The following is a 12,545-nucleotide window of genomic DNA, read 5'->3' as shown; positions in this document are numbered from 1 at the left end:
ATGTCTTCTCATGTTTTCGGTCTATTTTCTAATTGGATTGTTTTATTTTTGCTGTTGTGAAAGTTTTTTATTATTCTAAATACTAGTCCTATGATAGATACATGGTTTGGAAATATTTTCTCCCGGTCTTTAGCTTGTCTGTTATCCTCTTTACATGGGCTTTCACAGATGAAAGTTTATAATTTTGATGAGGTCCAACTGAACAATTTTTTACTGTATGGATCAAGTATGGGCATCAAGTCTAAGAATACTTTGCCTAACCCTAGATTCTAAATATTTTCTCCTTTTTTTTTTCTGAAAGATGTGTAGTTTTATACTTTACATATATGTATATAATCCATTTTGAGTTAATTTTTGTATAAGGTGTGAGGTTTAAGTCAAGGCTCATTTCTTTTGGCCTATGGATGTTTAATTTGCTGCGGCATCATCTGTTGAAAAGACTAACCTTCCTCCATTGAATTGCTTTGCAAATCACGTGATTATCTATATAGAAAATTCCAAGGAATCTAAGTACAAAATAAAACAGAACAAAACAAAAAACCAGCCTCTTAGAACTAATGAGTCAACAAGGTCACAGGATATAAGACGAACACTTAAAAATCATTCACATTTCTATACAATAGCAATGAACCTATGTCTTTGTCCATTCAGGCTACTGTAACAAAATACTATAAACTGAGTAATTTATAAATAACAGAAATTTATTGCTTTCTGTGTGGCATTAGCTTCTCTGATATTTTCTGGATACTGGGAAGTCTAAGATCAAGGCACCAACAGATTTGGTGTCTGGTAAGGGCTCTTTGCTTCATAGATAGTGCCTTGTTGCTGCATTCTCCCATAGTGGAAGCCACAAACTCCCTCAGACCTCTTTTATAAGGACATCAATCCTATTCATGAAGGTGGAGCCCTCATGATCTAATCAGTTCTCAAAGGCCACCATCTCTTAATACTACCACATTGGGTACTGGGTTTCAACATACAAATTTTGGGGGAGACACAAAATTCAGAACACAGCAACATATGAAAACTGAAATTAAAAACTCAAAACTTGGCCAGGCACAGTGTCTCACACCTGTAATCCCAGCACTTTGGAAGACCGAAGAGGGTGGATCATCTGAGATCAGGAGTTTGAGACCAGCTTGGCCAACATGGTGAAATCCCATCTCTACTAAAAATACAAAAATTAACAGGGCATGGTGGCGTGTGCTTGTAATCCCAGCTACTCAAGAGGCTGAGGCAGGAGAATGTTTGAACCTGAGAGGTGGATGTTGCAGTGAGCCGAGATCGCACCACTTTACTCCAACCTGGGTAACAGAGCAAGAACTCCGTCTCAAAAACAAACAAACAAAAAACAAACAAAGAAACCCCCCACAAAACTATTTACATTTTCTCCAAATAAAATGATATGCTTAGGTATGCACTTAACAACATGTGCAGGATCTATATGCTGAAATTACAAAATGCTGATTACAAAAATGAAAAAAGACCTAAAAATATGACAAGACATATTGTATTCATGTACTAGGAGACTCAACATGGTAAAAATGACAGTTTTCCCCCAAATAGTCTGTATGTTTTATGCAGTTCCTTTCAAAATCCCAGCAAGACTTTCATATACCTAGACAAACTTACTCTAAAATTTGTATAGAAAGGATCATATTCTAGAATAGCTAAGAAAATCTTGAGAAAGAAGAATAAAGTGTTAGGAATTATTCTACCCAATACTGTATTAAGGCATACTATACAGCTGTAGTAATCAAGGCAATGTGATATTGGAAGAAAAATAGTCACATATATCAATGGAATATACTAGAGAATCCACAGATAAAACCATAGAAATATGCTCAACTGATTTTGACATAGATGAAAAGTATTTGTTATTTTACATTTATTGATCTTGCCTCACAAGATGATTTTAATTTTCTTGAGGACACATACCATATCTTTAGTCTATCTTCACAATGCCTGTTATGGATCTTAGCATATAATATACATTAACCTAAAATACTGTTGATTTATTATAAAAGTTTTCAGAGAGATAAATAATATTATGATTAAAAGGAGATGAATAGCTTTAATTTTTAGAGAATGCCTCTTCATCTAAACAAAACATACATATATACACACATAACAACATATGTATACATATTTAAATACACACATACATATGCTTATTAATTCCATAATCATTTATTAAGCTTTTTCATGCAGTATTGTAGTGGGCCTGGGTTGGAGAGAAGTAAAAGTGGAGAAAAGGGTAGAAGAAGATGAACAGAGATAAATATTGTTTTTTAGTAGCTCATAATTTAGTAGGAAACACATGTAAATAAGGTAATTATCATAAGTACAATAGTAGAAGAAGCTATAAAATGCTGTGTTGGCTGGGTACTGTGGCTGGCCGGGTGCGGTGGCTCCTGCCTGTAATCCCAGCACTTTGGGAGACCGAGGCAGGTGGATCACTTGAGTTCAGGAGTATGAGATCAGCCTGGCCAAAATGGCAGGACCCTGTCTCTACTAAATATAGAAAAATTAGTTGGGTGTGGTGGCGCACGCCTGTAATCCCAGCTACACAGGCGGCTGTGGCAGGAGAATCACGTGAACCCAGCAAGCGAAGGTTGCAGTGACCTGAGATCGTGCACTGCACTCCAGCCTGGGTGACAGAGCGAGACTGCCTCTCAAAAAAAAAAAAAAAAAAAAAAGAAAAAAAGAAAAAAAAATGCTGTAGAAGTATAGAAGAGGAAACCATAATTTTTTTCTAGATCTAAATAGGGATTTATTGACATTCGAGCTAGATTTTGATAAGCTCATCATAGTGAACAAGAGATATAATGGAATCCCAGGTAGAGAGAACAGCATGTACAAAGTTTCATGGTATGAATAAACCTGTGAGTTTAATGAATGTGAAGAAGTTTGGTGTGACTAGGACAGGAGACACAACTGAAACAATATGTTGAAGCCATTATTACAGAAATTGAATTTTATCCTTTGGGTAGTGGGGAGCAGTTGAGAACTTTTAAGTAGGAGGATGATCGACATAATTGAACACTTTTTTAAGAAAAGTAACTTTGGTGGCATTTTGACTATCAGTTGGAAAGAGGCAAGGGCAAATACAGGGGAATCTGGTAGCAGGCTATTTTAATGGTCCAGGCAGGTACTAATCAGACTCTAAACTAAGGCAATGGCAGGGGAAGAAGAGAGAAGGAATCAGCTGTTTGAGGTATAGTTGAGGTTGCTAATTAGGAGTGGAGTGTGAGGTTAGGGAGATATCTAGCTGAGAGATTTAATGGTGGGGCTATTAGAATGGTGAATATAGAGAGTTGAGAAGGTTTGGGGAAAAGGTTTGCATTTAGATATACCAAGTTTGAGTATTCCATGAAGGTGGAATACATCTAGCAGGCAGAAGTACGATTGACTGACTTGGAGATTAGAAGAGATATTGGCTCCTTTTCTTGTCGTTTTATGGATTGAATTTTTTTTTCTTAGATACTCACTTCAAATTATCATTGTTGCTTTCAGGTTGCAACAATGAACATTGTTGCATCAAACTTGGTCCATATGTGGAAACTCCATAATCTATCATTCTATTCATATAAAATAAGGGAAGTGACTATACCTTTAGCCCCAACATGAGTCATGTGTAGCTTATCTGTTCAGATGAACTCAATTAATTTTGTAGCCCAGTGTTTCTCAAACTGTCAGTAGCATTGGCATCACCTGGGAGCTTGTTTGAAGTGCAAATTCTTGGGCTTCATCCTTGACCTACTAAATCAAAAACTCTGGGATGGGGCCCATGAACCTGTGTTTTAGCAATCTCTCCACGTATTTCAGATGCACACCAACAATTGAGAACTATGGTATAGTAGATATACTCTACTATATTGTTCTGTAATATATAGTCCAAGCCATGTAATATGGTAGCATTAAATCGACTTCTGACTGGGTAACATATTTTTAGCCATCTTCGTGATCGGTTAACTGTCTAAGAAGTGTTCAAATAATGGATAAATTTGTTTGATTAAGAAGTAGGGTGAAAGTACTAGCTACAGGCTGTATATGTCAAGGAGTAATAGATATTACCTTCTCATTTTATTATTCTTTCTTTAAGTCTTATTTCATATAAGTTTGTTTCTCACATTGCTAGAAAATCAAATTGATGTGATTTCATGAATAAGAATTAAATTCAGGACTGCCTTAGTGGCTTAGTGACTAGTTTAGAGTGATAGTGTTGGGGGCCATTGTTAGGGAAGAAAAGTTGATGAGGGAAAAAAGAAAAGGTATTGTGTGGTTTCAGATGTAATAATCTGGATTCAGATATTGTTTCTGTACCTTGATCAAAGGTATAGCACACAGGTCACAGAGTGATCCCTTATCTTATCTTATGGTGCTTAATAAATATTATTGGATGATGAGCCAAAATAATGTGAAAAACAAAACCCACAGGCTTTAACATTTAATGGCCAAAGAAAACTCTGTATTCTTCTTAGACATGTAGATCTAGAAGTGTTGAGGTGGCCTAGGTAGAAGTGAATTTCCTAGTTGTTAAGGTGAACAGCCGCAGGTTTCTCTGGTGATGAACTTCAGTTTTCGTTAGCCCCACTTGCTCTGCCATTCCTGCTGTTTTGCAACAGGGCTTAAAAGTGCTTTAAGTGCTTGTGACCGTGGTAATGAATGAAAATGTCTTTCCAGCACTGAGAGGATTGCATTAGACTGAATAGTCACCTCACTTGTAAAAGCACTATTAGAGTGGGGCAGCTGTAAGTAAGGATAACGATTTGTGTCCACTGCTTATTTACTGAAAATTGTCAATGTATTATTTATTGAGAGCTCTCCAGACAGTGCTTGTCAGAATAAAAATGTCAGCTCTGAGCAAAATGTTATAATACATAATAAAAATGCTAGGTATGCATTTTAGGAAGACAACTAATTAGACCTGCTTTTTCTTAAGGAAGGGACAGTAAAAATGTCTAATATTGTGGACTTTCTCCATTTGTATAAGTCCTTTTTTTTAATCCCTGCTCAGCTCAGTATTTGGTTTAGAAACTTATCATGCCTGAGAAATAATTTGAACAACTTTGTATTGTGGCCATTAGACACCCCAAGTACTGGGGAAGCTTGCTGAAGGAGGAAGGGCCTCGCTTGCCATCCCACAGTGAGCAGCCGCCCTCACCTCCATGTTTTGTCTGAAATTAGAAGATGTCACTTCCTCCCTGAGCAGTGCTCGTGGAAAACTGCCTCCAGTGTAAACAACATAAAATTATTAAGCTTATTCCTCAGCCGTGCTAATTAACCCCAAACAAATTTCACATTAAGGAAACAGAATTCAATCAATGTAAATGTTATTGCTGTGTATTACTGTAAGCAATAATATAGTGGCTAAAATAATTAATTATTTTGGATTTTTTTAAAAGAAAGTATTCCTTTTTATGGTGTTGCAAAATGTTTTGTGGATATCTCCCCCCTTTCTTTGGCCTTTCCTGGTGTAGAATATAAAAGACCCATGTGGTAAAGCATGGGTAATACACAGTTGTTTTTTACACCTGGATTGTAAAAAGGGAAAAACATATTTTGCAGAGCTTCAGGTTTACTTAGTCTAATATATTAGCAATACATACGCAGATTTTGTCTCCTCTTACCTATCGTAGTTGACTATTCATTTTAGCAATTTCCTGTTCTCTCTCCTTCCAGTCTTAAATGAAAAGGCGTGTGGTGATTTTAAAAAAAAGAATGTTAAATATTAACCAGTTCTTAGGGAAAACATGAAATGCCACTTTACTGTATTTCAGATTTTGGGAAGCAATTCCCAATAAAGATTCCCACCCCTCCCCCGTTTTTTATAAAAAAAATCTGGGCTCATATAAGGAGTCAAATTAGCCTCATCAAGCTAATTTTCTAACATTTTTGAAAACAACCAGCTTTCTAAATAATTGCTTGGTCGTGCCTGTGATCACTTGGGATAAAATACATTGTTATCATCATTTTCTTAATCCTCAAAGATCTTTAAAGACACGAAGTGCAGAAGCTAGAGAATATGTAACTTTATTTTCGTGCAGTAGAATGCATATTTGATTAATATGGAACTGTTTATCAGTGATAACATATTCTATGGTATATGGAACATAAATCAAATACTATTTGTATTAAGATTATTCTGAAAAATGATACATTCTTTAACCAATATATACCAGCTAGTGTTAATTAACTTTGAAATTTAAAGTAATTTAACTAAATAAGTAACACAATAAAAGAAAATATTGCTTTTCAGAGGTTTAATACCCACCATTTCTTTGTAATTTTACCATCTTCTTCCAGCAAACGCAATTCTTGTATCTCTTCATCCTCTATTAGTTCAGTATCTTATTTCATGACTACTCTTAATTCCTTATTCTTCTATATTAAAACTCTATCTTCATCTTGGTAGGAGTATTTAATCTTTTAATCATATCTTAAACATCTAATGAGCAGGCTGCTACTAAATATTTACAGTGATGCCAAAACGAATAATAAGAACATAAGTGTTCCAAGGAATAGCTGGAGTATGTTACTAAAAAAAAATAAGTAAAACTAATTCTTTATATAAGAGTTAAGAAGAAGTTAAAATCTCTTCGAAGGACTGTTTTAGAATAACATCTGAATGGACCATTTATTCAATTATATCTTTTGGCTTCAAATGATTTGTTTCAGATAATTTCCTTAGTTTCTATGACCAGATAGTTGCTTTCTTTTTTATTTCTTTGGGTACTTATTTTTACTTTTCCAAACAGGAAACAACTTTGTATTTTATTTATTTGCATCACATAGGTAGCTGATAATATGTTCTAGATTATGAGAGGCTATATTCAGAATCTAAAAAAAACACATAAATTTAGACAAGTTTGTATTGAAAAATTCCTTACATTTTAGACATTTATGTCTTTAAGTATATTTTAAGCCAAAGGTTTAAATAATATGCATTCTATAGCAAAGAAAATAGGATGGTTAAATATGATAACTAGAACTTGGCTAGCCCTCTGGTTGTCAGGACACTTAAACAATTTTTAACTGTATAATTTCTATGACTAATATTCCTGGATTTTAAAGTTACACTATAATGCCAAACGAATAAATGGAATAAAATTTTAAAATGAGGGTCCCAGTCAGAAGAACGTATATTAGTATGTTTTAAAATAAGACGCAAAGGGTTTGCATCCAGTATTTTATTCCCTTTAAGACTATAATTGACAAACTGCAGTAATCATGCTTTTATGTGTTTTTCTGCCTCTACTGAATTCATTTAAAGAAAAAGAAAGTAAAAAAGTGAAAAAGAGACTCCAGAATTTTGAAACCCAGTGGTCCTAAAGTGATGGGAAAATAGCCAAGGTGTCACAGCTAATTTCTGACCCTGTTTTATGAGTTCTGCTGTTCCTTATTCCCCCTGTCAGCCTGGGAATCCCTGAGGCTGTGCAAACTGGCTGAACATCACTCAATCCAAGTTTTATATCCCCTTTTAATAATGTTGAGTCTATTCTGTCCAACTTTGATTCAGACAACCTGCTTGTCTTGAAAAAGTGATATATTTAATCAGTGACTCTGTCTCCAGCATAGCTCCCACTGCGTGTGACTAGAGCCAGAGAGTAGTGCAGTGGTCTGTCATTTCTGTTTGAATGGGTAATGTGGAGCCCATCAGCTGAAAAGACAGGAGCTGGAACTGCTTGTTAGGACACATGATCAAAAGCCACTCTCTGCTTTCTGCCAATCAAACCTCATGTCGCCTTGTGGGGCAGACATTAAATAGATTTTTTTTCTGCCTTACAATATGGGCACTTTGCCAGTTTGACATGTGAACTGTTACAAAAGATAGCAGAGTTTTGACCACTTGCTGACTGCTTAAAAATATTACCGAACACTTGTCAAAATGAAATATTCATAATACTATATTATGATAAATTCAGTGAAGTATTATTTGGTGCATTTATGTTGTAATTTATGGAATTTTTTTTGTGGGGCAGAAGAAACAGTAGACACTTGCTTCTTGGGTGAAAGTAAGGAAGACAAAACTGTAAATCAGTCCAATTACAAAGCTATCACAACTGTGTGACAAATAGTTTTGAATAAGATGATTATTACTTTATGAAAGTAACATTAGTTAATTAAATGTTATTTTGCATTCTCTCTCATCTGCTTTAAAAATTATTTACTTCTTGTAAGTCATTGTAGGAGAGTGGCTTTTGTATTATATTTAATACAAAAATATGTAAAACTTTTATTTTGAAATATAATTCAGGATCTTATTCCTTCTTCTTATTGAGAAGATGGACACATTTTAAATTCGAAGACAGTCTTTAATTTGTGGCTGTCCTGATGGGTGTTTTTACTCTGCCTTTTCTTTTTCTTATCCTCTGAAGATTCCACTATTATATTTCTGCTTCATCTTTGTGCCCATAACATTACCCAGTAATGATAGTGGAATAGACCTAACTTCTAAGGTTTTTAAGAGAAGAATGAGTACCTAAGTACTTTTGACTTAAAAGGTCATTGAAATGGGCATTTCCTACCATTTTCAAACCACCCAGATAACTGTTCTAAAGCTGTTAAATCTTAGTTGGTGTTTTGATATCTCCAAACTTGCCACTTGCCGTTTCTTCTCTAATGATCATTTTAAAAGGAGTTAAACATTTTCACCAAAACATACCATGGCAATCTAGTGGAACTCATTTAAACAGTGAGCTACACATAAACAGCTGCTCCTTCAATAAGCCATTCTTTATAATACCCTTATTACCTTCTAGTGTCTCAAATTCTGATTAGTCAACAGTGCTGATTGCTGTACAGCATTCCGTTGCCCATCTTCCTTCTGCTCAGCTGCTCATGTCTTAGTTGTTATTTGATTACAACACAACTTGTGCATTGTTTCACCAAGTTGCTCTTCACATTGTGTCTTAAAAACTGAATTATCTAGGGAAACTGGGGTGTTGTGAGAGTGACTTTCTTTATACACATTTAAAATATCTGAGTAAAGCATGGTATTAAAAAAGACATAACTATGGAATTCTTAGGTTGGAAAGAATAATTGTGGCTTAAAACTCAGTACTTATAATTGAATTATGAAACAGACATTAAGGATGTGGAAGTGTTTTAAAAAGCATATACTATTTTACAAATTTAAAGAGTTATAAAAATGTTATATTATGGTGATTAAATTTCAATCAGATATAAAGTTCTGGAAGAGGTAATTATGTATGTATAACTCCATAGGAAGGGCCTAAAGGACCTTCATCTTTGCCCCAGGACTAGATAATTTTAGTCCAATTACTGTGCAGCACCAGTGATGCCTCACTAAATAGGATAGCCTGTTGGTAGTTTAAGTTGTGATGAAATAAGTAAGGGTGGGAAAAATCTCTATAATGAAGTTTGAATTTCAGCTATTCCTTTGTTGTGACCCCCTGGAATTTACTCTTAGTGAGTAGGAAATGCTGACACACTAGAAATGCAACCCCAGTAAAGGCCCTAAATCTGTCATTGTGCTCTGGAGTCTGCTCTGAAAATAGCAAAGCTCTTTTGGTAAATTAAAATCGGTGTGAATGGGAACAGATGTTGACATGTTTTACTTTATCTTCAGGGATGCCAGTTAAAGAGGAGGGGGTCAGCAAGGTTAGATGGTAGGAAATAGAGTAAGTGTGCAAACTTGTTTTGTGAAGGGAGTTCTGTTTTGGGACATTAGTCAATAGAATTGTATTTCTCTTTTGTAGTCCAGGTAAGAATTATACCTCCATTACTATATCTACAGGAAAGATGAGGGGGGGTGGTATTTATTTCCGGATGGCTATCTGCTTTTGATGTTCTCTTGTGATTGTGTCTTTTCTTCATCAAACTGCTATAAACTGTCTCAGATTGCTATTAGGTTTTACTTTGCAACATCATTTTGGCATAGCTTCCTAAAGTATTTGTTGAACCCTAGTGCTGTAGTAGAGTCTTTGTACTGGTATTTGTCAAAAATAATGAAAATGGTTTATGCTCTAAAAATGCACAATTTATCAAATACCTTGTATAGTTAATTTAAATAAGTCTCGTAGAACTTTCAGTCTTGATTTGAAAAAATAGCATAGGATGAATTTATTTATAAGAACCTTAATAGTTTCTCTCAATTCCTTTTACATTTTAGATTACCTTATAATTTTCTAAATCTACATGAACAATAATGATCAATTTTGTCAGTATTATTCACACCTTTTATTAATTTAACATAGATGAATAAATGTGAATGTTGTGAAGAGTTGATTGGGAATAGATTTTAAATCTGACAGTTAGATTACAGGGTACCTAAGAAAAAATGGCTCTTTCACTAGGTACCTAGTAATTTAATTCTTGTTTGAAATTATTATAATTTATTACAGTGTGTGGGTCCTAATGAATGTCTACTATTAAATGAAAAGGAGAAATTGAAATTAAGATTATGAAATTCTTTTAACTCATATCTTTAAATCCCCTTAAACAATTCAGAAGACATTAATAAGCTATGGAGGTTATGTTCCATATTCTGTAATGACAAATAAAAACAATTTTTTTCAGTGTTTAAAGAATCTAGAAAATGTTGAGTGTCATTAAACTTCAAAGCATGCAATCTTGGAATTTTATAAAATGGTTGGTAGTAGCCATTATAACAGCATTAAAACTGGCAACTTCATTTAAATATTTATTTGGACTATACATAGATTTTTCTAGCATTTGAGTTTTCCAGAAATAGTGACTATTTCCTTAGTGTTAAACACTTAATGTAGGATGATTTGAGATTTCATTGAGCTATGTACCACACCAGATTAACATTTTAAAAATTCCAAATACCAAGGAGAGTTTTAAAATGTCAGTAAAAATTTAGAAATAAAATAACGATGTCCAATTGCCCAAAGGCATTGAAAGTTGCTACTTACTCCTAGATCTAAGTAAAAGCTGGCATGTACACAAAGTGAAGCTCAAGACTTTTAAAAATAATAATTCCTGATATTAATGTAATAAACATTTACTGTTTATTACATTAATGATGATATATGGCAATTTTTCTAGCCTGATGAATTATCTGAAATGTCATTTGAAGGGTCCATTGAGTATCTTACCTGGTAAGAAGCCCCTCTTGCATAAATATGGCCATGCTTATTTGAAAATCATTTAAGAAAGAAAATAAGCGTGATTGGCCCCTTGAATTTCAAACCATTAGCATGCTTACCTAAAACTTCTAAAATTTTGTTTCCTAATTTCTGGAGCTTTTTTTTTAATTGATGCTGCCATAATGCATATATAAGCCAGTAATTAGTTTATGTGTAGAAAGAGAAAAAGAAAATAAGCAAGGTGGTGAGAAGTTTACATTTGACTGTAGAGAATAATCCTGCTCTGGGTTTTTGACAGCCTCAGAACAGTGCAAGCAGAGGAGATGTAGGGCCTGGTCGTCTCTCACTGCGGTGACCCCCAAGTACTAATCTTGGATATGAGAAATAAAATGTGATGTCTTCAGAGAGTGGCTATTTAGGTAGATTTTTGTTGGTTGGTTGTAATTTCACATAAATTTCCCTTGAGACTGTGGAACTGTGCTTAGACCTGTAAAAGTCACATCTCTATTCTTTTCTTTTGTAATACAATTCTCTAACTCCCTCTCCCCACTCCCACCCCTACTTAAGGATGTGTTGCCAAAAGAATGTAGTGAGAGTGCTAGCTGTTTTTAGATGGGAAGGTGATTTGTTGCCTCTGATAATCTGCTTGTTGAGCTCAAGTTAGCTCTGGCATCTGAAGGAAATAAATGTCAGAAACAAGTAGGGCAGTGCTCTCTTAGAAATGATTACTGATCTCTTTTTAAAATGTTTACAGTAGTTGTTTAATAAGGAAACAATTGGACAGAATTTATGCTGCCTAAGTTTCTATAAATAACAAAGCCTTTTCTCATCTATCTGTAATGTCCACGTGGTTGCTGTTTATCACTGTAGCTAGTTCCAACAGTTAAATTCCGGTGTCTCTCATCTACTATTACAAAAGGCTAAAGTGGGCCAACTACATCATGGGGATAGGGCAGGAAGATAAAACTTTCTCATATTATTCAGTGTGAGAACATGATGGCTGTACTATAAAAAACTGCTTTAAAATATTTTTGCTAATTGTGATTCAGTAATTTTAAAATGTTAACTTTGGAAAAACATTGACAATTTACAAAAGCATATCTACTGTTAGATATTTAATTAGATTTTTTTCTCCTTTGTGCCTATTTAAACTCTAAATGAAAGATGGAAATATGTTTGCTCTAAATATTTGATGTGATTGAGATGAGATTAAGCGGTTTAAATGATTTAAAAATTATATTTACTTTAGTGCAATCTGTTAGATTCAATGCTAATCTGTCTTTTGGTTTGCTTTGTGGTACAGGAAACTAAGCACCGAGCGTTAAACTATTCAGTGCATGGTTAGGGTTAAAAACCCGGGTTCCCTCTCTGTACCAGTTACCAAGTTCTTCAGACAAAGTTGAGTTTGCTGTTCAGACATTAGCTGTACTTCTTAGCGATGACCTTGTCGGGTAGAGAAGCATGGCA

General features: G+C 34.5%; 1 protein-coding gene across 6 annotated transcripts in view, besides 1 other annotated feature; it reads left to right on the top strand.

The window, feature by feature from the left end:
* The window catches only part of SOX6 (SRY-box transcription factor 6), a 772,029-nt gene that overhangs the window by 433,212 nt on the left and 326,272 nt on the right, over positions 1–12,545 (top strand). The gene's annotated exons all lie outside the window — the stretch shown is intronic.
* Positions 9,250–10,605: an enhancer, noted in NCBI's record as "VISTA enhancer hs236". NCBI's record gives its function as "enhancer in: melanocytes[11/13]" and the evidence as "EXISTENCE:transgenic organism evidence [ECO:0001131][PMID:17130149]".

This window comes from Homo sapiens, chromosome 11 (genome assembly GCF_000001405.40).
Source record: "Homo sapiens chromosome 11, GRCh38.p14 Primary Assembly".
NCBI lineage: Eukaryota > Metazoa > Chordata > Mammalia > Primates > Hominidae > Homo > Homo sapiens.
Note: the sequence above shows the minus strand (reverse complement) of the source record. Positions and strands in the feature narration are given on the sequence as shown.